General features: G+C 48.9%; 1 protein-coding gene across 2 annotated transcripts in view, besides 1 other annotated feature; it reads right to left on the bottom strand.

Moving 5' to 3' along the window:
• NFILZ (NFIL3 like basic leucine zipper) overlaps window positions 1-21,769 on the bottom strand; it is a 50,519-nt gene extending 28,750 nt beyond the window's left edge. The window contains exons 1-4 of one of the 2 annotated variants that reach the window (NM_001378599.1): window positions 21,658-21,769; window positions 19,777-19,926; window positions 16,656-16,752; window positions 13,746-13,909 (exon numbers count right to left, since the gene is read on the bottom strand). The gene's annotated coding sequence lies outside the window, so the exon portion shown is untranslated. The remainder of the gene's footprint in view (window positions 1-13,745; window positions 13,910-16,655; window positions 16,753-19,776; window positions 19,927-21,657) is intronic. The other variant, NM_001378600.1, reaches the window with a different exon arrangement.
• Window positions 20,669-20,963: an enhancer, noted in NCBI's record as "tiled region #9055; HepG2 Activating DNase unmatched - State 1:Tss". NCBI's record gives its function as "activates a minimal TATA promoter and a strong SV40 promoter by Sharpr-MPRA in HepG2 cells {active_cell/tissue: HepG2}" and the evidence as "EXISTENCE:reporter gene assay evidence [ECO:0000049][PMID:27701403]".
• Window positions 21,770-27,573: the final 5,804 nt, after the last annotated feature.

The following is a 27,573-nucleotide window of genomic DNA, read 5'->3' as shown; positions in this document are numbered from 1 at the left end:
GCCAGGAGCGGTGGCTCAAGCCTGTAATCCCAGCACTTTGGGAGGCCGAGGCGAGTGGATCACTAGGTCAGGAGATCGAGACCATCCTGGCTAACACGGTGAAACCCCGTCTCTACTAAAAGTACAAAAAAATTAGCCGGGTGTGGTGGCGGGCGCCTGTAGTCCCAGCTACTCTGGAGCCTGAGGCAGGAGAATGGCGTGAACCTGGGAAGCGGAGCTGGCAGTGAGCCGAGATCGCGCCACCGCACTCCAGCCTCGGCGACAGAGCAAGACTCCGTTTCAAAAAAAAAAAAAAAAATCTCCCAGTGGTCACAGCAAAGTACAGAATTGAAGTCATTCAAGTTCTGTGTTTTCATCTTTAAATCATCTTTTATTATTTCTTTCTAGTCTAAATCCAGGAAGACGTAGATGTATTATACTATCATGAGGTTTAGAGACACTCAAGCCATTCCAAACCATTGTTTCTCCAAATGAAAGTAGATAGTTGAAGGATGGCTACCAGAGGCCAGGAAGGGTAGTGAGGAGGAAGAGGGAGAAGGAATGTTTAATGGGTCCAAAATATAGTTAGAGGCCGGGCACAGTGGTTCACACCTGTGATCCCAGCACTTTGGGAGGCCGCAGAGGGAGGATCACTTGAGGCCAGGAGTTCAAGACCAGCCTGGAAAACATCGTGAGATCCCCATCTCTATTAAAAGTTTAAAAATTAGCCAGGCATGGTGGCACATACCTGTGGTCCCAGCTACTCAGGAGACTGAGGTAGGAGGATCGCATGAGTCCAGGAATTTAAAGCTGGAATGAGCTGTGATCTCCCCACTGCACTCCAGCCTGAGCAACAGAGCGAGACCCTGTCTCTAAAGAAAGAAAAAAGTTAGATAGAAGAAATAATACCTAGTGTTCCGTAGCACAATAGGGCACCCATGGTTAACAATAACTTATTGAAGGTCGGGCGCAGTGGCTCACGCCGGTAATCCCAGCACTTTGGGAGGCTGAAGCGAGTGGATCACTTGAGGTCAGGAGTTTGAGACTAGCCTGGCCAACATGGTGAAGCCCCGTCTCTACTAAAAATGCAAAAATTAGCTGGGCCTAGTGGTGGGCACCTGTAATCCCAGCTACTCAGGAGGCTGAGGCAGGAGAATCGCTTGAACCTGGGAGGCGGAGGTTGCAGTGAGCTGAGATCACTCCACTGCACTCCAGCCTGGGCAACAGAGCAAGATTCCATCTAAGAAAAAAAAAGCTTATTATATATTTTGAAATAATTAAACAATTGTAATTGAAACGTTCCTAACACAAATAAATGTTTGGGGTAATGGACGTCACAATTACCCTGATTTTATCAGGACACATTGTATGTTTTTATCAAAATATCACATATACTCCATAAATATGTACACCTATTATGGTTCCACAATAACTAAAAATAAATTTAAGAAAAAGAAAGTGGATAATTAAATCCGCTTATGTGGACTGCCTCTGTACATGGGAATTTCTCTGAATTAATTTCCATGGAGAACACAAAGTTCACCAAGAATAAATGATGAAAATGCGCTAAGTTGAAGTTTACATGTACATTATGAAACCTCAAATAAATAAATACGTAAATTATGAAAATAAATAGTAACTAGAGAAATCCAAGTAAATTCTGTACTGGAGAGAATCAGTCATATTCTATCAGCATCAATGTCCTGATCTTTTTTTTTAGCATGAGTTTCCTTTTATTTCTATTTCTTTCTTCTTTTTTTTTTTTTTTTGAGACAGAATCTCACTCCATCTTGCAGGCTGGAGTGCAGTGGTTCAATCTTTGCTCGCTGTAACCTCCGCCTCCCATGTTCAAGCAATTATCCTGCCTCAGACTCCCCAGTAGCTGGGATTACAGGCGCGTGCCACCACGCCCGGCTAATTTTTGTATTTTTAGTAGAGACGGGTTTTGCCATGTTGACCAGGCTGGTCTCAAACTCCTGACCTCAGGAGATCCCCCTGCCTTGGCCTCCCAAAGTGCTGGGATTACAGGCGTGAGCCACCGCACGCAGCCTCTATTAATTTCTTTATACCCATCCATGTAGGGCTAACTCACTCATGCAATGTGCTGATCTTGACACTGGACTGTGGTCATGTAAGATCTTGTTAGAGGAAGCTGGGTGCAGGGGACATGAGAGCTCTGTGCTATTTTTGCAGCTTCTTGTAAGTCTTAAACTATTTCAAAATGTAAAAGTTATCAAAACAAACAACCACAAAAAAAAAAACCTCAGCTGTAACCGCAGTAATTTTTTGGAACCAATTTTTTTTTTTTCAGACGGAGTCTTGCTCAGCTGGCCAGGCTGGAGTGCAGTGGCATGATCTCAGCTCACTGCAGCCTCCACCTCCCGGGTTCACGCCATTCTCCTGCCTCAGCCTCCCAAGTGGCTGGGATTACAGGCGCCCACGACCAAGACCGGCTAATTTTTGTATTTTTAGTACAGACGGGGTTTCACCATGTTAGGCAGGCTGGTGTCGAACTCCTGACCTCAGGTGATCTGCCCATTTCAGCCTCCCAAAGTGCTGGGATTACAGGCGTGAGCTACCACGCCCGGCCAAAAGATTTTTTTTTTCAGGGTATTTTATTACTAACATTCTTTAGAATTCTGGGCATATGTGAATGATAAAAGCAGACTGCCTTCTGGTGATTTTTATTCTTGCTTTTCAATTCTCTGCAGACAATGTGAGGCAAACTGCTTTCCCCACCCTGCCCAGGGACTGGGCTGGACCAAGAAAACCAAAGTTCAGTAAAACAGGACCCATACAGCAGAGCCGGCAAGACAGGCGCTCATGGAAAAATTATGCTTTGAAAATGCTTAATTATGCCGGGCACGGTAGCTCACGCCTGTAATCCCAGCACTTCGGGAGGCCAAGGCAGGTGGATCACCTGAGGTCAGGAGTTCAAGACCAGCCTGGCCAACATGGCAAAATCCCGTTTCTAACAAAAATACAAAAAATTAGCTAGGCGTGATGGCATGCACCTGTAATCCCAGCTACTCAGGAGGCTGAGGTAGAAGAATCGCTTGAACTCGGGAGGTAGAGGTTTCAGTGAGCCAAGATAACACCACTGCACTCCAGCCTGGGCAACAGAGCGAGACTTTGTCTCAAAAAAAAATTGCTTAATTGCCAGGTGTGGTGACTCACCCCTGTAATCCCAGCACTTTGGGAGGCCAAGGTGGGAGGATTGCTTGAACCCAGGAGTTCAAGACCAGCCTGGGCAACGTGGCAAGACCCCATCTCTCCAAAAAAAAATACGAAAGTCAGCCAGGTGTGGTGGTGCCTGCCTGTGGTCCCAGCCACTCAGGAGGCTGAGGTGGAAGGATCACTTGAGCCCAGGAGTCTAAGGCTGCAGTGAACCATGATCATGCCACTGCACTCCAGCCTGGGTGACAAAGCAAGATCATGTCTCAAAACTAAATAAATAAAAATACATAAATATGCTTAATTATAGGGTGAGATAAGGGCCTTGAAAGAAAAGATAGGGGCTTCCTGAAATCACAATTTTACTTTTTTTACATCTGCCTTTTTTTTTTTTTTAAGCAGAGTCTCACTTTGTTGCCCAGGCTGGAGTGCAATGGCATGGTCTTGACTCACTGCAAATCTCCACCTCCCAGGTTCAAGCCATTCTCCTGCCCTCAGCCTCCCAAGTAGCTGGGATTACAGGCATGCACCACCACGCCTGGCTAGTTTTGGGTTTTTTGTTTGTTTGTTTGTTTTGTTTTGTTTGTATTTTTAACAGAGATGGGGTTTCACCATGTTGGCCAGGCTGGTCTTGAACTCCTGACCTCAAGTGATCTGCCAGCCTCGGCCTCCCAAAGATCTGGGATTACAGGCATGAGCCACCATGCCCAGCCACATCTGCCTTTTTTGTGTAGTAATATATACATAATGTAAAACTAACCATTTTAATCATTTCTCAGCGTCCATACAGTTCAGAGGCATTAAGCACACTCACATTGTGCAACCATCACCACCATCCGCCTCCAGAATGCTTCATCTTGCAAAACCAAAACAGCATACCCATTAAACACTAGCTTCCCATTCTTCCCTTCCCTTTATTTATTTATTTTTTTAAGTTCCAGGGTACATGTGCGAGACGTGCAGGTTTGTGACATAGGTAAACGTGTGTCATGGGGGTTTGCTGCACCTGTCAACCCATCGCCTAGGTATTAAGCCCGGCATTCCCTATTTTTCCTTTTTTTTTTTTTTTTTTTTTTTGAGACGGAGTCTCGCTCATGCCCAGGTTGGAGTACAGTGGCTCAATCTCGGCTCACTGCAAGCTCCACCTCCCAGGTTCACAGCATTCTCCTGCCTCAGCCTCCCAAGTAGCTGGGACTACAGGCACCCGCTACCATGCCCGGCTAATTTTTTTTGTATTTTTAGTAGAGACGGGGTTTCACCGTGTTAGCCAGGATGGTCTTGATCTCCTGATCTCGTGATCCACCCGCCTCGGCCTCCCAAAGTGCTGGGATTACAGGCACGAGCCACCGCACCTGGCTTCCCTATTTTTCCTGATGCTCTCCCACCCTGCCCTCCCCCAACAGGCCCCAGTTGTGTGTGTGTGTGTGTGTGTGTGTGTGTGTGTGTGTGTGTGCGCGCGCGCGCGCGCGCATGTGTGCGTGTGTGTGTGTGTGTGTGTGTTGTTCCCCTCCCTGTGTCCATGTGTTCTCATTGTTCAGTTCCCACTTATAAGTGAGAACATGCAGCGTTTGGTTTTCTGTTCCTGGTTTAGGTTGCTGAGAATGATGGCTTCCAGCTCTATCCACATCCCTGCAAAGGACATGATCTCGTTCCCTTTTTTTGGGGGGGGGGGTGCGGGGACAGAATGTCCTTCTTGTCCCCCAGGCTGGAGTGCAGTGGTGCGATCTCGGCTCACTGCAACCTCCACCTCCTGGGTTCAAGTGATTCTCCTGCCTCAGTATCCCAAGTAGCTGGGATTACAGGCGCCTGCCACCATGCCCAGCTAATTTTTGTATTTTTAGTAGAGACAAGGTTTCACCATGTTGGCTAGGCTAGTCTTAAACCCCTGACCTCAGGTGATCCACCCACTTCAGCCTCACAAAGTGCTGGGATTACAGGCATGAGCCACCGCGCCTGGCCGATCTCATTCCTTTGTATGGCTCCATAGTATTCCACGGTGTGTATGTACCACATTTTCTTTATCCAGTCTATCATTGATGGGCATTTGGGCTGATTCCATGTCTTTGCTATTGTGAATAGTGCACCAACCCTTGCCTTTACACTACTGTTATTAGCTGCCTGCATAACTGAGTTCAGCATTGTTCTAATCACGTTCCACATAATAGCCTCCTCTGATCCTCACCCAAACTTATAAGGCAGGAGTACCTGCCTATTAACATCCTATTTTACAGATGAGGAAACTGAGGCACAGAGCGATCAAGGTATCCGCCCAAGGTCACACAGCAAGGCAGTCATGGAGTCGGATTTGAACTGGGGCCAGCTGCCTCAGGGCCTGTGTTCTTCCTGCCTGGGTTTTCCTAGCCTAGATCCGGGTCAGGAGGAAGGCTGTGAGGGGTCACTTCTCTGAGGATACGCATTTGCTCTTGGTTTAGGAGGAGCAGCAGAGGAAGGGCATTTTAGACAGAGGGAACAGCACAGACAAAGGTCCTGAGGTGTTTGGCAAATTGGAGGGACAAAGAGGAGCTCGGTGAGGGCTGAGTGACGTGGGGACAGCAGTGGGAGACAGGACGGGAAGTGATAGAGGGAACTGCATTGTGCAGGGCTTGCCGGCCACAGTGGGGATTGTGGTCTTTAACCCAGGGGCCTCGGGGAGCCACTGACGGTTCTAGGCAAAGGAAGAGTGGCTCTTACTTCCTCTCTCCAGTTATGCAGCCTCTGGCATTACTGGGAAACAGTCAGAACTCCTTTGGGTGTAAAAACAGAAGCAAGTGGCAGAACTGAACACAAGGTGAGGGGTCCAGGAATCCTGGTTCTGGCCACGCCAGCTGTGTGGCCTTGGACAAATTGCTTAACCTCTCTGCGCCCCAGCTTCCTCATCTGTGCAATGGAGATTAATACAAGGCAAGTGGTTAGGCTGGGCGCAGTGCCTCACGCCTGTAATCCCAGCACTTTGGGAGGCCGAGGTGGGCAGATCACTTGAGGTCAGGAGTTCGAGACTAGCCTGGCCAACATGGTGAAACCCCATCTCTACTAAAAGTATAAAAATTAGTTGGGTGTGGTGGAACACACCTATAATCCCAGCTACTCGGGAGGCTGAAGCAGGAGAATCACTTGAACCCAGGAGGCAGAGGTTGTAGTGAGCCGAGATCGCGCCACTGGACTCCAGCCTGGGCAACAGAGCAAGAGTCCATCCCCCCCAAAAAAAAAGAAAAAAAAATAAGGGTCTGGCATGTAGTAGGAGCTATACAATGTCACATATTATTTAGGTTGGTGCAAAACTAATTGTGGTTTTCCAGTTACTTTTAATGGCAAAAACCACAATTACTTTTGCATCAACCTAATATCATCTTCGTTTTCACAGTAAATATGGACCCACATAACTGAAAAGCTAGCTGCTTCAGGTGAGGCTTGATCCAGGCATCCACCAGACCTCACCAAGGCTCTGGTGCCTCTCCTCTGCCATCACTGGCTGCCTGGGCTTTATGTTCAGGCTCCACATTGCAGCTAACGCCCCAATCCTTCCCCAGTAGTCCACAAAGCAGTCACTGCCATTTCTCCCATTCTCCTACCCACACCCTCTAGGGCCAGCTCGAGGGTCTCTTTCAATTGCTCCCAAGAAAGAAAAAGGGAGGTGTACTTTCCCAGAATCCCCAGCAAATGTCCTTGCCTCTCATTGGCTCTGGGTGTGTTACACACTCACTCCTGAGCCAATCACTGTAACCAAAAGATGAGGTGTTGGCTGGGAGCTGGGGTTTGGAGCCAATCACAGCTGAGGCTGGGGACAACATGATCAGAAAAAGTAATGTAGGAGCCAGGAACTGTGGCTCATGCCTGTAATCCCAGCACTTTGGGAGGCCTAGGCAGGAGGATTAGCTTATGGCCAGGAGTTGAAGACCAGCCTGGGCAACATGGCTAGACCCCCATATCTTAAAAAAAAAAAAAAAAAAATCACCCAGGTGTGGTGGTGCAAACATGAGGTCCCAGCTACTCAGGAGGCTGAGGTGGGAGGATCACTTGAGCCCAGGAGTTTGAGGCTGCAGTGAGCTATGATTGCACCACTGCACTCCAGCCTGGGCGACAGACAAGACCCTGTCTCTTAAAATAAAACAGAATTAAGGAAATTGTATCTCATACAGTGAGATAATTGATAAGTAAGAAAATGGAAAGCTGGACAGGTGCGGTGGCTTATGCCTGTAATCCCAGCACTTTGGGAGGCTGAGGTGGGGGATGGGGGGAGGGTGGGATCACCTGAGGTCAGGAGTTCGAGACCAGCCTGACCAACATGGCGAAACCCCATCTCTACTAAAAATACAAAATTATCCAGGAATGGAGGCGTTTGCCTGTAATGTCAGCTACTGGGAGGCTGAGGCAGGAGAATCCTCTGAACCAGGGAAGCGGAGGTTGTGGTAAGCCGAGATCATGCCATTGCACTCCAGCCTGGGCAACAAGAGCGAAAACTCAGTCAAAAAAAAAAAAGTCATCTGGCTGGACATGGTGGTTTAAGAGTGTAATCTCAGCACTTTAGGAGGCCGAGGCAGAAGGATTGCTTGAGCCCAGGAGTTCAAGACCAGCCTGGGCAACACGGTAAGACCCCCATCTCTACAAAAAAAAAATTCTTTTAATAGCCAGGCATGGTAGCATACACTTGTGTTCCCAGCTACTCAGGAGGCTGAGGCAGAAGGATCTCTTGAGTATGGGAGGTTGAGGCTGCAGTGAGCCATGGTCTCCACTGCAATCAGCCTGGGCAACAGACTTCAAAGTCATAGCATAGACTGACTTTAATAGAATGAGATTCTTGACTGACCTCCGCTGGAAATGAGTTGAAATACATGTACAAGTTGACCCTATTACCAGCTACGGTGGCTCATGCCTGTAATCCCAGCAATTTCGGAGACTGAGGCATGTGGATCACTTGAGGTCAGGAGTTGGAGACCAGCCTGGCCAACATAGTGAAACCCTGTCTCTACTAAAAGTACAAAAATTAGTTGGGCATGGTAGCAATCGCCTGTAATCCCAGCTACTTGGTAGGCTGAGGCATGAGAGTCATCTGAACCCAGGAGGTGGAGGCTGCAGTGAGCCAAGACCATACCACTGCACTCCTGCCTGGGTAACAGAGCAGGACTCCATCTCAATTAATCAATCAATCAATCAATCAATGCCCTATCTCCAAATTCAGTCACACTGGGGTTTGGGGCTTCAATACGTGCATTTGGGGTGGAACAATTCAATCCATAATGAGGGAAGGAGGTGTTGGGGGAATGCAAATGGCTGAGAGAGAGAACCCCACAATAAACGAAGAAATGGAAATGTCCTGTGAATTAGTCAGAGTTCTCCCAAGAAACAAAATCAATAGCTGATCAGAAAGGTGGAGAGAGAGCGACAGCAACAGAAAGAGATAGAGAGATCCAGGGTGAGATTTATTATAAGGATTATATAATTACAGGGCTCATCTGATTATGGAGGCTGAGACATCCTATGATCTGCTTTCTGCAAGCTGAAGACCCAGGAAGATTCATGGTATTGTTCAAAGGTTGGAGAGCCTGAGAGCCAATGATGCAGATTCCAAGCCAGGTCTGAAGGCCTGAGAGCCAGGAGCACCAGGGGTAGAAGATCAATGTCCCTATTCCACAGTTTGACACAGACAGAATTCAACCTTCCTCTCTGCCTTTTTGTTCTAGTCTGGCCCTCAACAGATTGGATGAGGTCTGCCCACATTGGGGAGCACCATCTGCTTTTCTCAGTCCACCAATGCAAATGCTAATCTCTCCCAGAAACACCCTCCCAGATACACTCAGAAATAATGTTTAACCCAGATATCTGGGTGTCTTATGGCCCAGTCAAGTTGACACATAAAATTAACCATCACATCCCATAGAGAGGAAGTTATTTTCCATCATAAGACTGGTGGGCTAGCCTGGAAGTTATGGTCTCTACTTATAAACTCTCTTCTTTTGAGAAGTGAAAACATGTGAAAACATATCTTTAGAGTCAAAATCCTTAGCTGGGTGTGATGGCTCACGCCTGTGATCCCAGCACTTTGGGAGGCTGATGCAGGAACTTCACTTGAGCCCAGGAGTTTGAGACCAGCCTGAGCAACAGAGGGAGACCCCATTTCTTCAAAAAATTTTCAAATTAGCCAGGTGTGGTGGTGCATGCCTATGGGTCCAACTACTCAAGAGGCTGAGGTGGGGGGAGAGCTTGAGCCTAGGAGGTTGAGGATGCAGTAAACTATGATCACACCACTGCACTCCAGCCTGGGTGACAGGGAGATACCCTGTCTCAAAAAAAAAAAAAAGAGTCAAAATCCTTTAAGTTGAAACTGACGATTCAACACCCAACCACTCGCCAGCAAACATGTGTGACAGATTGGGGAGTGGGAAGAACAGCCCCAATATTTACAATATTTGTCATTTCCTCCAGTCAAGAGATAGATTCTGTTTCCTTACTTCCTGAGTCTGGGTTTGACCATATGGCTTGTTTTAGCCAATCAGACATTACCAAACATGACACAAGGGGAAGTTCTTGCGCATTAGGGCTATATTCTCTGCTTTTCCTAGCAACTCTGCAACCACCATGGGAATGAGCTTGAGCAAGCCCACCGGAGAGGCCACGTGGAGGAGAACCAAGGCACCCCAGCAAACAGCCTGCTAATGGACTCATGAGTGAAGCAATCCAAGGTAGTCAGCCCCAGCCAACCCACCAGCTAACTGTAGCCACATGCATGGGCCCAAGCAAGACCGACAGAAGAACCGCCTGGCTAAACTCAACCAAGTTGCCAACCCACAGAATCAAGGGTTAATAAGTGGCTATGGTTGCAATCCATAGGGTAGTTTGTTACACAGCAAAGGCTAACAGATACAATGTGTAAACACACTCTCTTTGGAAAGAGACATAGCCACTAATTCCCCAACAATAACCACACAGGCAAAGACATGCATGTGATCACCATGTTTCAGTGCTGCAAACCCTACTTTATTCATCACAGAACCACTAGGTGGCAGGAGTTCTTTGGTTCAAACTTTGACTTAGCTACAGGCTAAAGAATCAACTCGGGTCTACACTTAAAAAAAAAAAAAAAGAGAACGGTGATAAAAATTAGAGCCATAGGCCAGGCATGGTGGCTTCACACTTGTAATCCCAGCACTTTGGGAGGCTAAGGCAGGAAGATCACTTGAGCCCAAGAGTTCAAGATCAGCCTGGCCAACATAGCAAGACCCTGTCTCTACAAAAAACATAAAATGTAAAAAAAAGTACTAGCTGGGCATGATGGTGCACATCTGTGGTCCCAGCTACTTAGGAAACTGAGATGGAAGGATCCCTTGAGCCTGGGAGTTTGAGGCTGCAATGAGGTGTGATTGTGCCACTGCACTCCAGCAGCCTGGGCAACAGAGTGAGAAGCTCTCTCTAAAAAAAAAAAAAGCTATCATTTATTAAGGCATTGGTTCTAAATGCTTCACATATGTGTCATGTGATCCTCATAGCATCCCTACCAAGTAAGTGCTATTATTATCCTGGCTTTGCAGATAGGGAAACTGAGGCACAGAGAGAAGACATCTCAGCTGGTAAGGGAACTCACATCCAGTTCTTACTCTGACACCAAGGGCTGTCATGAAGTGTCTTCATAACCCTGAGCAAGTCTTTGTGCTCTTTTGACTCAGTTTCCCCATGTGTAAAATAAGAGAACCAAGCTAGATCAGAGGTTATGAACCCAGAATTGGAATGGGCTCTGTGGATAAAATTTTGCAGCACCACAATACCATACAACTATCTGCAAAATCTTTTGGGTAAATATATTTGGGGTGGGAGGAATTTTGGCAATGGGCCAGCAGTGGTCTTTAGATTTGGGTGAATTCCTAAACAAGTATGTGGTCCAGAAACATTTAAGAAACACTGGAGAGGCCAGGCATGATGGCTCACGCCTGTGATCTCAGCACTTTTGGAGGCTGAGGTGAGCGGATTGCTTGAGCCTGGGAGTTCAAGACCAGCCTGAGCAACATAAGGAGACCCCATCTCTACAAAAAAAAAACAAACATTAGTCAGGTGTGGTGGTGCATGCCAGTAGTCCCAGCTACGCGGGAGGCTGAGGTGTGAGGATCACTTGAGCCTGGGAGGTCGAGGTTGTGGTGAGCCGTGAGAAAGAAACATTGGAGAATATGCTCTTGAAGACCCATCCTTCAAGTGAACACCAAATGCTACAATTACAAAGATGCAGAAACCAAGCAAACCTTGCAGAGAACAGTCTTAGTTACAATTCAGTCCATATTACCGAGGCATTGAACTGCAGTCAAGGTTAAGTGTAACCCTGGTCTTCTTCCAGGCTTGAGTGATATGCATCTTTCCAATACTATCTGCACCCTCGTCTCAGAACTAAACCAGTTCTGGGCTTATCCCATACAGCACGACCTGCCCAAGGAGGTTCTCCTCACCCCTGCCCCTTGCAAGGTGCTGTTGCTGTAACTTTGACCTCTGGTCCTTGAATATCCACACCCTGAGAAAGCAGTTAATGATTACAGAAACTGTGAGAAGAGTCCACAACATATTCTGTTGCCAACGCTTGCCTAATTTTCCAGAAGTCTGGTGCAATGTGGCTGCTTCTGGTCTCTTGAGGTTTGTCTGGGGATGGGTTGCTGTCTCTCATCGTGTCGCCGCCTCAATTTTTCTGGACTGTGCCAGCTCTTACCCACCCGGGAGCAGCAGCGTTCAAGACAGCTTGACATCAAAGGCACCTTCTGCTGCTCACAGCCATTGGCCCCGGGTGTCCTAAGTGAACTTCCCCTTCACAGGACAGCCTGGTAAACTCCAAGCCGGTCATCACGCTCTATGCTGTGTTATGCAACAAGTGTGTAAACTTTTCCTGTTGGTGGTGGAATGCTTTGTCAAGCAACATCTTATGCAGAAGCTCAAGCAATGGTAAAAAAAAAAAAAAAAAAAACTACAGCAGGAACAATAGGTTCTTGCTACATTGGCCAGACTGGGAGAGCACAGTATCTTGAGAGGCAACCTGCAGGCAGTCCATGTGCAAGAGTGATCTGGGGGAAAATCAAGAACACAGGACCGGTTCACCCGCAAAGCACTGGCCCCAGGAAGGTGGGTGAGGGCAAGAGTTCAGCGGGCAGGAACTCAGGCCAAGACGCAACCATGAGAACAGAGGCCCTGGGAATTCACAAGCATCTCACAGAGGGCACCAGGCTTCCCACAGGTCGTGGGAGAGAGGCAGACGCCAAATCTCTGAGGCTCTATTGACCCCAGCTGACATCTGGGTAACATCTGTTATACAAAAGAGCCGGGACCCAGCCAAAACATGGCAACCCCAGTAGGGCTTTTAAACACCCAGCAGGGTTTTTTAAATAGTGTTAGAGAGATTCTTTCACAACAACAAACTCACTAATGGCCACCTGGCTCAGCTGCCGCCCAGAGACACCCAACACACACACGCCTACCGCATATAAAAATAAACTAATCCTTACCCCATGTGTGGTATATGCCAGACACTGGCCTATCACTTTACACATATTAATTCATGTCGTCCTTCCAACAACTCCTTCAGGTAGGTGCTATTATCATCCACCCAGCAGCCAGAGAGGACACCCTCAACACATCCCAGGGTAAAAGCTTGAGTACTTTCTGCAAATCTTTTTTTTTTTTTTTTAATTTTCTTAAGAGATGGTCTGGCTCTGTGACCCAGGCTGTATTGCTGTGGTGCGATCATAGCTCACTACAGCCTCAAACTCCTGGGCTCAAGCGATCTTCCTGCCTCCTGAGTAGCTGGGACTACAGGCACATGCCACCATACTTGGCTAATTGTTGCGTTTTGTTTTGTTTTGTTTTGTTTTTGTAGAGGCAGGGGTCTTGCTATGTTGCCCAGGCTGGTCGCAAACTTCCAGGCTCAAATGATCCTCCTGCCTCAGCCTCCCAAAGTGCTGGGGTTACAGGTGTGAGCCGCCATGCCTGGCCTGCCATGCCTGTAACTCTTGAGATCTTGCAAGCTCTCCTTCCCCACAACACCCACTGTCACCTCTCTGCCTTTGCCCTCCTTCCTCTCACCCCTTCTATCACTCTGCTCCAACCACATGGACCTCCTCACTGTTCCTTAAACAGCCAAGTAGGCCGGGCTCAGTGGCTGACACCTGCAATCCCACCACTTTGGGAGGCCGAGTCGGGCAGATCACTTGAGGCCAGGAGTTTGAGACCAGCCTGGCCAATGTGGTGAAAGCCTGTCTCTATTACAAATACAAAAAATTAGCTGGGCATGGTGGTGTGCGCCTGTAATCCCAGCTACTCGGAGGCTGAGGCAGGAGGATCCCTTGAACCCGGGAGGCAGAGGTTGCGGTGATCCAAGATTGTGCCACTGCACTCCAGTCTGGGCAACAGAGCGAGATTCCATCTCAAAAAAAAAAAAAAAAACAGCAAAGTAAATTCCTGCTTCAGGGCCTTTGCACTTGCTTTGCCCTCTGCCAGAAAGACTCTCCCCTCCCCTCCATCCCCCTAGAAGCACCTCACTCTCCTCACCTTCCCCGGGAGGTCCCCCCACCTCTAAAGCTGCAGCCTCTTCCCCATGTACACAAACGCAGCCCTACCACCCTGTGACATACTGCAGACTTGACCAACTCTTCATCTTTATTTCTGCCTTCCTGGCCCACCAGGGCAGGCATTTGGGTCTGTTTTGTTCGCCGCTGCAACCCCCAGTGCTTGGAATGGAGCCTGGCACGCAGGAGGTGTTCGTTCCGTAAATATTTGTTGAATGAATGAATCCACACTGAAAGAGGAAACGGGCAGGAGAGAAGTTGGGCAATTCGCCCAAGGCCCCACAGTCCTTAAGTGGCAGAAGCAAGACGGGAGCCCCCACAGTTCAACTGCACAGGCTTCCTAACCACTGTGTGAGGTTTTCCCCCAGGCACATCCCTTTGCACGCCCACAAATGCACACAGCGGCTAACGCACGTGCACACTCATGAACGCACGTGTAAATTCCACCACCAACAGGATAAGTGTGCGCACTTCTAGCATCACACAGCATAGCGTGTGACGCCTGGCTTAGCGTTTACCGCGGAATGGCAATGAGTTCGTTGTAGAATCTAGGGGTGAGTGTGCCTGTGCCCAATTCTTTCCATTTTTCTGTGTGTTGGAAAGAGTTTCTAATGTTGAGAAAATTTGACTTCCCATAGCATCTACTGATCTTTGCTCTATTAAGGTGGCCTGGCAAGGTCATGCTGGCACTAACCTGTGTTGGGGAAAGGTCTATGAAGTCCTTCTCTGTTCTACAAGAGCAAGGGGACTATGTGGAGGCTTTTTGTTTTTCTTTTTCTGTTCTTTTCTTTTTTTTTTTTTTTTTTTTTTGAGACCATCTTTAGTCTTGCTCTTGTCGCCCAGGCTGTAGTACAGTGGCGCAATCTCAGCTCACTGCAATCTCCGCCTCCCTGGTTCAGGTGATTCTCCTGCCTCAGCCTCCCAAGTAGCTGAGATTACAGGCATCTGCCACCATGCCTGGCTAATTTTTTGTATTTTAGTAGAGATGGAGTTTCACTATGTTGGTCAGGCTGGTCTCAAACTCCTGACCTCAGGTGATCCACATGCCTCAGCCTCCCAAAGTGCTGGAATTACAGGCGTGAGCCACTGCACTCGGCCTTTTTTTTTTTTGAGATGGAGTCTCACTCTGTCGCCTAGGCTGGAGAGCAGTGGTGCAATCTCGGGTCACTGCAACCTCCACCTCCCCAGTTCAAGCTATTCTCCTGCCTCAGCCTCCCAAGTAGCTGGGACTACAAGTATGCACCGCCATTCCCTGCTAATTTTTGTATTTTTAGTAGAGAAGGGGCTTCACCATGTTGGTCAGGCTGGTCTCGAACTCCTGACCTCAGGAGTTGCTGAGTTCTATGGTAACTTTGTGTTTAAGGTTTTGTTTTGGTTTGGTTTTGGTTTTTTTTCTATTGCCCAGGCTGGAGTGCAGTGGTGTGATCTCAGCTCACTACAATCTCTGCCTCCTGGATTCAAGTGACTCTCCTGCTTCAGCCTTCTGAGAGCTGAGATTATATGTGTGCGTCATCACACCCGGCTGGAGTGCACAGTCCTAGCTCACTGCAGCCTCGAACTCCTGGGCTCAAGTGATCCTTCTGCCTTGGCCTCTTAAAGTACTGGGACTACAGGTATGAGCCACCACATTCAGCCTTGCCCATTTTTTTAAAAACTAGGCAAGGATTTGGTTAGAATGAAGATTCTGGCCTCCCCTCCAGGCACCCTGTCCTATACCTCACCTGATTCGCACTTCTATATCTTCCCCTTGGCCCCAGCTCTATCCCTGACTGTCCCCCTCCAGTATCCAGGGGACCAGTGTCCTGTCTCTCCATACAAAAGCCTCCATATAGGCCAGGCGCAATGGCTAATGCCTGTAATCCCAAAACTTTGGGAGGCCAAGGTGGGCGGATCACTTGTGGTCAGGAGTTCGAGGCCAGCCTGGGCAAAAGGGTGAAACCTCACCTCTATTAAAAATACAAAAATTAGCCAAGCATGGTGGCTCACGCCTGTAATCCCAGCACTTTGGGAGGCCAAGGCAAGCTGATCACCTGAGGTCGGGAGTTCAAGGCCAGCCTCACCAACATGGTGAAACCCCGTCTCTACTAAAAATAAAAATTAAAAAAAAAAACATAGCTGGGCATGATGGTGCATGCCTGTAATCCTAGCTACTCAGGAGGCTAAGGGAGGAGAATTGCTTGAACCCAGGAGGCAGAGGTTGCGGTGAGCCGAGATGGCGCCATTGAACTCCAGCCTGGGCGACAGAGCAAGACTCTGTTTCAAAAAAAAAAAAAAAAAGATGGAGTCTCGCTGTGTTGCCCAGGCTGGAGTGCAATGGCGCAATCTCGGCTCACTGCAACCTCCGCCTCCCAGGTTCAAGCATTTCTCCTGCCTCAGCCTCCCAAGTAGCTGGGACTACAGGCGTGTGCCACCATGCCCAGTTAATTTTTGTATTTTTAGTAGAGACGGGGTTTCACCATGTTGGTCAGGCTGGTCTCGAACTCCTGACCCCGTGATTCACCCGCCTCGGCCTCCCAAAGTGCTGAGATTACAGGCATGAGCCACCGCGCCCAGCCGAAAATAAAATTTTTTTAAAAGGCTGGTTTTGGCTGGGTGTGGTGGCTCATGCCTGTAATACCAGTACTTTGGGAGGATGAGCCGGGTAGAACACTTGAGGCCAGGAGTTCAACACCAGCCTGGGCAATACGGTGAAACCCCCTCTCTACTAAAAATACAAAAATCAGCTGGGTGTGGTGGTGCGCACCTGTAATTCCAGCTACTCTGGAGGCTGAGACAGGAAAATAGCTTGAGCCCAGGAGGCAGAGGTGGCAATGAGCCAAGACTGCACCATTGCACTCCAGTTTGGGTGACAGAGCAAGACCCTGTCTAATAAATAAAAATAAATAAACAAATAAATAAAGAGAGAAAGAGAAAGTCAGAGACAGAGAGAGAGAATAAGGACTCATAGGTATTCACCGTAGAGAAATGGAAACTTACCCTCACACCAAAACTTGCACATCAACGTCTGGCACATTATTTATCATCGCCTATGAATTTGGGCATTCGTCACCAAAACTGGAAACAACTCACGTGTCTGTCAACAAATGAATGGATGCATGGTGACACATCCATACCAGGGACTCCTCAACAGTAAAAGAAACAAAAAATGCTACACCCAACAACGTGAATAAGCCTCAAATGCATTCTGCTGCCTGGAAGAAGTATGCGCCAAAAGCTGCCTATGGTACGATTCCATTGACATAATATCCTGGGAAAAGGCAGAAATATAGCAACAGAGAGGAAGTCAGCAGGGGCCAGGGGCTGGGACTGAGGGAGAGAAATTGACTCCAGAGGGGCACGCAGGAATTGCAGGAATTGGGAGGGAAAAAGGTATTCTGTATTTCTTTTTTTTTTTTTTTAATTTTTTTTTTTTTGAGATGGAGTCTTGCTCTGTTGCCCAGGCTGAGGTGCAGTGGTATGATCTCGGCTCACTGCAACCTCCGCCTCCCAGGTTCAAGCGATTCTCCTGCCTCAGCCTCCTGAGTAGCTGGGATTACAGGTGCCCACCACCATGCCCGGCTAATTTTTGTATTTTTAGTAGAGACAGAGAGTCACTATGTTGGCCAGGCTGGTCTTGAACTCCTGACCTCAAGTGATCCACCCGCCTCAGCCTCCCAAAGTGCTAGGATTACAAGTGTGAGCCACCAGGCCTGGCCGGTATTCTGTATTTCTATTGAGGTTGTGGTTATAGGGTTGTGTGGTTTGTCAAATATCACAGAATCGTATACTAATATGTATGGGTTTCACTGTCAGTAAATTACACTGGTTTTTTTGTTTTTTTGTTTGTTTGTTTGTTTGTTTGTTTGTTTGTTTGTTTGTGATAGGGTCTTGGCTAAAGTGCAGTGGGGCCATCTTGGCTTGATGCAGCCTCGACTTCCCGGATTCAAGTGATCCTCCCACCTTAGCCTCCCAATTAGCTGGAACTACGAATGCACACCACTATGCCCAGCTAATTTTCTGTTTTGTTTTTTGTAGAGACAAGGTCTCACTGTGTTGCCCAGACTGATCTCCAATGCCTGAGCTCAAGCGATCCGCCCGCCTCAGCCTCCCAAAGTGCTGGGACTATAGGCCTGTGCCACCACACCTGGCCAGTAAATTACACTTTAATTTTTACTTAAATGAAAGGAAAAAACATTACAATAATAAGGCCCAGCATTTTGGTAGGCTGAGGCAAGAGGATTACTTGAGGCCAGGAATTTGAGAGAGATCCCATCTCTACAAAAAATAAAAATTAGCTGGGTGTCACGGCATGCGCCGATAGTTCCAGCTACTCAGGAGGCTGATGTGGGAGAATCATTTGAGCCCAGACATTCAAGGCTGGATTGCACCACTGCAATCCAGCCTGGGCAACAGAGTGAAACCCTGTCTCAAAAAGAAAAAAAAAAGAGGCCAGGCAGGGTGGCTCACGCCTGTAATCCCAACACTTTGGGAGACCAAGGGGGTGGATCACTTGAAGCCAGGGGTTCAAGACCAGCCTGGCCAACATGGTGAAACCCCTTCTCTACCAAAGATACAAAAATCAGCTGGGCATGATAGCACACACCTGTAGTCCCAGCTACTTGGGAGGCTGAGGCAGGAGAATCGCTTGAACCTGGCAGGTGGAGGTTGCAATGAGCCGAGATGGCGCCACCGTACTGCAGCCTGGGTGACAGAGCAAGACTCTATCTCAAAAAAAAAAGGAAACAAGAAAGCAAGCAAGAAAGCAAAAAAGAGAGAGAGAGAAGGAAAGAAGGGAGGGAAGGAAGGAAGGAAGGAAGGAAGGAAGGAAGGAAGGAAGGAAGGAAGGAAGGAAGGAAGGAAGGAAGGGAGAAAAGTTATACTAATGATAACTGAGTAAGAAAGAAAGCTATACTCCCAAATCCACTTCCTCCCCTTCCACAACCTCCTGTCCAGCCTCGACATCTGTCTCTCCCTCCCCAGGACCCTGCTCCCTTGACCAGGAGGCAGGGGGCCTTGTCCCAGGACAAGAGCTGAGTTGGGCATAGCTAAGTTGGTCTTCAGAGGGGGCAGGAAGGGAGGCAGGAAACCATCCTCAGGGCGGCTGGAGGGCTCCTCCCACAGCAGCTGCAGGTGCACTTCCAAGAGCCAGAGGTGGGGGAAGGTAGAGAGAGGGAAAGGAGCTGGCCCTCAGAGCCTAGGCAAGGGTCCAAGGTCAAGGTGTCAAGTTCAAGGTCAAGACACCTTCCCTGTGCAGCCTCAGCTTAGCCGCAGCTTCCCTACCTCACTGCCAATAACACCAACTTTTACTGGAAAAGGGTCCCGATCCAGACCCCAAAAGAGGGTTCTTAGGTCCCCCGCAAGAAAGATTTCAGGGAGAGTCCACGGAGTAAAGTGAAAGCAAGCTTATTAAGGAAGTAAAGGAGGCCGGGCGCGTTGGCTTCCACCTATAATCCCAGCACTTTGGGAGGCCGAGGTGGGTGCATCGCCTTAGGTCAGGAATCCAAGACCAGTCTGGCCAACACGGTAAAACCCCGTCTCGACTGAAAATACAAAAAATTAGCTGGGCATGGTGGTGCACATCTGTAATCTCAATCAGTCAGGAGGCTGAGGCAGGAGAATCCCTTGAACCCAGGAGGCAGAGGGTGCAGTAAGCCAAGATTACACCACTGCACTCCAGCCTGAGTGACAGAGCAAGGCTCTGTCTCAAAAAAAAAAAAAAAAAGGCAGGTGCAGTGGTTCATGCCTGTAATCCCAGCACTTTGGGAGGCTGAGGCAGGCGGATCACCTGAGGTCAAGAGTTTGAGACCAGCCTGGACAACATGGTGAAACCCTGTCTCTACTAAAAATACAAAAATTAGCTGGGCATGGTGGTGTGTGCCTGTAATCCCAGCTACTCAGGAGGCTGAGGAAGAAGAATTGCTTGAACCTGGGAGGCGGAGGTTGCAGTGAGCCAAGATCGTGCCACTGCACTCCAGCCTGGGGGACAGAGCGAGATTCCGTCTCAAAAAAAAAAAAAAAGGAATAAAAGAATGGCTACTCCACAGACAAGAGCTGCTGGTTGCCCATTTTTATGGTTATTTCTTGATGATATGCTAAACAAGGGGTGGATTATTCATACCTCCCGTTTTTAGAGCATAGAGGGTAACTTCCTGATGTTGCCATGGCATCTGTAAACCGTCAGGGGGCTGGTGGGAGTGTAGCAGTGAGGACAATCAGAGGTCACTCATGTCATCATCTTGGTCTTGATGGGTTTGGGCCGGCTTCTTTACTGCAACCAGTTTTATCAGCAAGGTCTTTATGACCTGTATCTTGTGCCAAACTCCCCTCTCATCCTGTGGCTTAGAATGCCTTAACTGTCTGGGAGTGCAGCCCAGTAAGTCTCAGGCTCATTTTACCCAGCCCCTATTCAAGATGGAGTCACTCTGGTTCACAAGTCTCTGACACAACAGCGGTAAAAATAACCCCCTGACACACACACACACACACACACACACACACTGTATGGCGGGGCAGTCAGCCCTGAACCTGCCTCCCTCTGGCTCCTCTAGAGCATCCCAGTAATAAAACACAAGGGCGGCCGGGCGCGGTGGCTCACGCCTGTAATCCCAGCACTTTGGGAGGCCAAGGCAGGTGGATCACCTGAGGTCAGGAGTTCGAGACCAGCCTGACCAACATGGTGCAACCCCATCTCTACTAAAAGTACAAAAATTAGCCGAGTGTGGCGGCAGGCACCTGTAATCCCAGTACTGGAGAGGCTGAGACGAAAGAATTGCTTGAACCCGGGAGGCAGAGGTTGCAGTGAGCTGAGATCGAGCCACTGCATTGCAGCCTGGGCAACAAGAGCGAAACCCCATCTCAAAAAAACAAACAAACAAAACACACACACACACACACACACACACACACACACACAAAAGCGAGGACTGGAGTGACCAAGCCCCCAGGGTCCCCATCACTAGAGACGCTTCAAGAGGTCAGCGGGTGTAGACGGAGGAGGCAGAAAGTGAAAGGCCAGGAGGCTGAGAGGCTGGAGCCGCCGCACAAAGGGGCTGGACACGAAGGCCTGGCGGCTGGATGTAGGGGAAGCCAGGCCAGCACTGCCTGTTTACTTTCAGAAGAACAGGGCCAATCTGCGGCCTCCCACTGTGACCCTGGACTCGGGGGAAGAGGGGGCCAAGACTCAGATGTTTGTCTACTGAGCTAATCCCTGGGCTTTGTCCCAGGGGACTCCGCTGCCTTCCCAGAAGACACGCCTGCCTCCAGACCCCCCAGAGATCAAGGGACAGGCACAGAACTCCAGTTCAGAATGCTGCCTCTCTGTTCAGTCCCCCTGTTCATCCCAAGCCCAGCCCCCAGCCCTGCCTGGGCTGACCCCCTCCAGCCTCCCTGTGAGCTCCTAATTTGGCCTGCCTAGAATTTGCAACCCCACTGGGCCACCCCTGAGAGAGCTGTGGGGTGCCAGCCTTGTTCTCAGTGCCCGGGTCCTGGGAAGGGAAAGCAGAGAGGGAGGAGCAGGAGGAAACCTTTGATGCTTAGCCAGAAGTCCCTGCCTGAAATTCCACCATTCAGGCACCCTCTTTGAGTTAAAGCAATGATTCCTGTATCCCTTCCAGAAACCCCTGGTACCCCAAAATGCTACAGAGGAAAAAATATCAAAGGAGTTAAGTAAGTTTGAGAAAGCTGTGCAAAGCACAGGTGTCTATTAAAGGCTCTGAAAAGATCTGCATGAAACGATCCTAGTCAGCTTTGCTTAATCCCCTCACTTGGCCGCAGTTCCATGCAACACGACCCGGGCATCCAAGGCCCCAATTAAAGGCAATCATGAGATCCCAGAAGGGAGATGGAGGTAGTTAAGCTGCAGGGGGAATAAGCTGATCCAACCGGACCTGTGTGGGGGAGAGAGGAGCCTAACCCAGGTCTGCATGCCCTCCTGTGTCAGAGACCAGAAATGTCCCACCCAAGGCATGGGAAGGAAGACTCAGCCTCTCATCATTACCACCTTGCTTCCTGCTCCTTGCTCCTCCTGGCTCTCCAGTCTTCCACCCAAGCCCTCAGGTTCCCCTAGAGCTCTTTCCCACTTCCTAGTCCCCAGCCATGGCAGAGAACTCTGTGCCCACGAACAGGGCTATAATGGAGATATCCCAGGTATTGTCAACCAACAAAGTGCCATGGAGGTGACATCATAAATATCAGTGATAGGCTGGGTGCGGTGGCTCACGCCTGTAATCCCAGATCTTTGGGAGGCCCGGGCAGGTGAATCACAAGCTCAGGAGTTCAAGACCAACCTGGCCAACGTAGTAAAACCCCGTCTGTACTAAAAAGACAAAAAATTAGCCAGGCGCGGTGGCACGTGCCTATAATCCCAGCTACTCAGGAGGCTGAGGCAAGAGAATCACTTGAACCTAAGAGGCAGAGGTTGCGGTGAGCAGAGATCATGCTGTTGCACTCCAGCCCGGGTGACAGTGTGAGACTCCAACTCAAAAATAAATAAATAACTATCAGTGACAGGAGTTTGAAGCTAGTGAATACAATGTTCATGGACACTATGAACACTCTCATAGGTTATTCCTGATGCCACACACCAGTGTGGATTTGAACTGTGCATCTACCACTGAGCAATTGTGTGATCCTGGGGAGTTAAACTCACCAGACCTCATCTGGAAGTTTGTAGTATTTTGTTATAGCAGTCCTAGGTAACTAACATACACTCTCTCCCTTTCTCTCCCTGTTTTCTTTTCTTTAATTTATTTTTATCATTTCTTTCTTTGTTTTTTTTTTATGGAGTTTCACTCTTGTTGCCCAGGCTGGAGTGCAATGGCACAGTCTCGGCTCACTGCAACCTCCGCCTCCTGGGTTCAAGCAATTTTCCTGTCTCAGCCTCCCAAGTAGCTGGGATTACAGGCATGTGCCACCACACTTGGCTAATTTTGTATTTTTAGTAGAGACGGGGTTTTACCATGTTGGTCAGGCTGGTCTCTAACTCTTGACCTCAGGTGATCCACCCGACTCGGCCTCCCAAAGTGCTGGGATTATAGGCGTAAGCCACCGTGCCTGGCCTATCCTTTCTTTCTTTTTATTTATTTTTATCTTTCCTTTCATTTTATGTATTTTTATCTGAGTGAGATAAAGTGTCCAACACCAGGAGATTGTGGGGTTTCTGTGAGATACCAAACCCGGACCCTAGCCTGCCCTTGTGCTGTCTTGTCCTTCTCTGGGGTCTCACATCCTTCCTCTGTCCACAGTCCTCCATGGCTCCCACCTCCTCAGGGTAAAAGCCCAAGTCCTTCCTGCAGCCCACAAGGCCCTTCATGACCTGTCCCTGTCACCTCCCTGTCCTCACCTCTCCCACATCAACTCACTTCCTTCCAGCTGTACACACAGACCCTGTTATGATGCCAGAACAGATAACAAAACAGGCACAGCCCAACCCCAAGACCTTTGCACACGTTGTTCCCTCCACTTAGAATGCTCCTGCCCCAGATCCCCTTGACTTCAATCAGGCCTCTGATCATATATTGCCTCCTCCAAGAAGCCTTCCATGCTTCCATGAACTCCCTCTCTAAAAGAGCCCCCTGGACTGGGTTGAATAGTGTCCCCTCCCCTAAATTCATGCCCATCTGGAACTTGTGAATGAGACTTTATTTGGAAATACAGTCTTTGCAGATGAAATCAACTTAAGATGAGGTCCTCCTGCGTTATGGTGGGTCCTAATCCAATGTGACTCGTGTCCTTATAAGAAGACGAAAATGGCCAGGCATAGTGGCTCACGCCTGTAATTCCAGCACTTTGGGAGGCCAAGGTGGGCAGATCGCCTGAGGTCAGGAGTTCAAGACCAGCCTGACCAACATGGAGAAACCCCGTCTCTACTAAAAATACAAAATTAGCCAGACGTGGTGGCGGGTGCCTGTAATCCCAACTACTTGGGAGCTGAGGCAGGAGAATCACTTGAACCTGGGAGGCAGTGGTTGCAGTGAGCCCAGATTGCACCGTTGCACTCCAGCCTGGGCAACAAGAGCGAAACTCCATCTCAAAAAAAAAAAAAAGAGGGAAATGGCAGGCTTGGTGGCTCATGCCTGTGTAATCACAGCACTTTGGGAGGCTGAGGTGGGCAGATCAGCTGAGGTCAGGAGTTCAAGGCCAGCCTGGCCAACATGATGAAACCCCGTCTCTACTAAAAATACAAAAAAATTAGCCAGGCAGAGTTGTGGGCACCTGTAATCCCAGCTGCTCAGGAGGCTGAAGCAGGAGAATCACTCCAACTCAGGAGGCAGAGGTTGCAGTGGGCCGAGGTTACACCATTGCACTCCAGGCTGGGTGACAAGAGTGAAACTCCATCTCAAAAAGGAAAAAAAAAAGAAGAAGGAGGAAATTCAGAAACAGAGGCAGACACACGCAAAGAAGGCTACACGACGGAAGCTGAGATTGGAGTGATGCAGCTGCAAGCCAAGGATAGCTGGCCACCACCAGAAGCCAGGGAGAAGCAAGGAAGGGTCCTTCAGAAGGAGCATGGCCCTGTCGACACCTTGATTTTGGACTCCTGGTCTCCCAAACTGTACAATAAAGTTCTATTGTCAAAAATCACCAGTTTCTAGTATTTTGTTATAGCAGTCCTAGGTAACTAACATACACTCTCTCCCCTTGTCTCCCTGTTTTCTTTTCTTTCATTTTATGTATTTTTATCCTTTTTTTCTTTCTCTCTTTTTTTGAGATAGAATCTCGCTCTGTCGACCAGGCTGGAGTGCAGTGCTGCCATCTCGGCTCACTGCAATCTCTGCCTCCTGGTTACAGCAATTCTCCTTCAACCTCCCAAGTAGCTGGGATTACAGGTGCGTGCCACCATGCCCAGCTAATTTTTGTATTTTTAGTAGAGACAGGTTTTGCCATATTGACCAGGCTGGTCTCCAACCCCTGACCTCAGGTGATCCACCAGCCTCGGCCTCCCAAAGTGCTGGGATTACAGGCGTGAGCCACCGCGTCCAGCCTGTTTTTATCTTTTTTTTTTTTTTTTTTTTTTTGAGACAGAGTCTCACTCTGTCCCCCAGGCTGGAGTGCAGTGGCACAATCTCCGCTAACTGCAAGCTCCGCCTCCCAGGTTCATGCCATTCTCCTGCCTCAGCCTCCAGAGTAGCTGGGACTACAGGTGCCCGGCCACCGCGTCCGGCTATTTGTGTGTGTGTGTGTGTATTTTTAGTAGAGACGGGGTTTCACCATGTTAGCCAGGATGGTCTCGATCTCCTGACCTCGTGATCTGCCCACCTCGGCCTCCCAAAGTGCTGGGATTACAGGCGTGAGCCACCGCACCAGGCCTATTTTTATCTTTTTAGAGACAGGGTCTTGCTCTGTCACCCAGGCTGGAGTACAGTGGTGCAATCATAGCTCACTGCAGCCTCAAACTCCTGGACTCAAGCGATTCTCCTGCCTCAGCCTCCCAAGTAGATGGGACTACAGACACATGCCACCACACCCAGCTATTCTTCTAAAAAACATTCTTTTGGCAGAAACATGGTCTTGCTATGTTGCCTGGGCTGGTCTCAAACCCCTAGCCTCAAATGATCCTCCCACTTCAGCCTCCCAAAGCAATGGGATTAAAGGCGTGAGTCTGTTTTCAACCCAGCCTTTTATTTCCCGCACAGCATTCACTTCCACCTGTAATATGATACAGTTGATACTCATTATTCATGGATTCTGGCATCACAAATTGGCCTGCTTGGCCGGGTGTGGTGGCTCATGCTTGTAATGCCAGCAATTTGGAAGGCCAAGGCAGGCGGATCACCCGAGGTCAGGAGTCGAAGACCAGCCTAGCCAACATGGTGAAACCCCGTCTCTACTAAAAATGCAAAAATTAGCTGGGCGTGGTGGCAGGTGCCTGTAATCCTAGCTGCTTGGGAGGCTGAGACAAGAGAATCGCTTGAACCCGGGAGGCGGAGATTGCAGTGAGCCGAGATCACACCACTGCACTCCAACCCTGGGTGACAAAGCATCAAAAAAACAAAAACAAAACAAAACAAATTGGCCTGCTTGCTAAAATGTATTTAACCCCCAAATCATTACTGGTGGGGTTCTCAAAGCCATTCTCAGTCATGTGCAGATGGAGCAGCAAAAACTTTGAGTGGCGCTACACACCTGTCCCCAGCTGAGGTCACACAAGGCGACACTCTGCCTTCCTGTCTCAGCTCTCATCATACAAACAAGTGCCCTTTTGGAGTCTATCGAGTGGTGCTGGGTTTTTTTGGGTTTTTGGGGTTGTTTTTTTTTTTCATTTTTGTGCTTTTTTTTTTTTTTTTTGGTGATGTTGCTGTTCACATTGGCTCCAAGCACAATGCTGGTGTGGAGTCCTGTGTCCCTGCGCACAATGTCTTATTTCACTTTGTGCTGCCATCACAGAATTCCATAGACTGGGTAGTTTATGAAGAACAGAGATTTATTTCTTACAGTTGGAGGCTGGGATGTCCAAGGTCAAGGGGCCTGCACCTGGCAAGGGCCTTCTTGTCCCATCATCCCATGGCTAAGTTTCTTAGAAAAATTACACTTTTCCAGACCAGTCGGGTGGCTCATGCCTGCAATCCCAGCACTTTGGGAGGCCGAGGCGGGCAGATCACAAGGTCAGGAGATCGAGACCATCCTGGTTAACACAGTGAAATCCCGTCTCTACTAAAAATAAAAAAAATTAGCCGGCGTGGTGGCGGGCACCTGTAGTCCCAGCTACTCGGGAGCTGAGGCAGGAGAATGGCGTGAACCCGGGAGGCGGAGCTTGCAGTGAGCCGAGATCGCGCCGCTGCACTCCAGCCTGGGCGACAGAGCAAGACCCCGTCTCAAAAAAAAAAAAAAAAAAAAAAAAAAAAAAAAGAGTTCGAGACCAGCCTGGCCAACATGGTAAAACCTCGTCTCTACTAAAAATACAAATATTAGCCAGGCATGATGGTGGATGCTTGTAATCCCAGCTACTCGAGAGGCTGAGGCAGGAGAATCTCTTGAACCCAGGAGGCAGAGGGTGCAGTGAGCCGAGATCACTCCATTGCACCCCAGCTGGGGCAACAGAACAAAAACTCTGTCTCAAAAATTAAAAAATAAAAGAAATAAAAAGAAAAATCACACTTTTCCATTTGGTTTTGTTTTGTTTTGTTTTGTTTCAGAGACAGGGTCTCACTGTGTCCTCCAGGCTGGAGTGCAGTGGCAAAATCTTGGCTCACTGCAGCCTTGACCTCCCTGGCTCCAGTGATCCTCCCATCTCAGCCTCCCAAGTAGCTGGGACTACAGGCATGTGCCACCCTGCCTGGCTACTTTTTCTGTTTTTTGTAGAGACGGGGCCTCGCTATGTTGCCCAGGCTGATCTCAAACTCCTGGCCCCAAGCAACCCTCCTGCCTCAGCCTCCCAAAGCACTGGGATGACAAGCATGAGCCACCTCGCCTGGCCAGAATCATGTATTTAATCTAATCCTTACCACAGCTCCATTAGATGGTGCTATGGTGTGAACGTGTGCCCCAAAATTCATGTGTTGGAAGGGCAAAGAGAGAGTGTGAGAGAACAAGAAAAATCAGGCTCATAGCCTCAATCCTCCTCTTTTTTTTTTTTTTTTTTTTTTTTTTTTTGAGGCAGAGTTTCACTCTTGTTGCCCAGGCTGGAGTGCAATGGCGCGATGTCAACTCACTGCAACCCCCACCTCCCGGGTTCAAGCGATTCTCTTGCCTCAGCCTCCCAAGTAGCTGGGATTACAGGCCTGCGTGACCACACTCAGCTAATTTTGTATTTTTTTGGTAGAGACGAGTTTCCTCCATGTTGGTCAGGCTGGTCTCGAACTCCCAACCTCAGGTGATCCACTCACCTCGGCCTCCCAAAGTGCTGGGATTACAGGCATGAGCCACCGCACCCAGCCTAATCCTCCCCTTTTTTTGAGATAGAGTTTTCCTCTATTGC

The sequence above is a fragment of the Homo sapiens genome, chromosome 19 (assembly GCF_000001405.40).
Source record: "Homo sapiens chromosome 19, GRCh38.p14 Primary Assembly".
Taxonomy (NCBI): Eukaryota; Metazoa; Chordata; class Mammalia; order Primates; family Hominidae; genus Homo; species Homo sapiens.
This window is presented reverse-complemented; position numbering and strand designations above follow the sequence as displayed.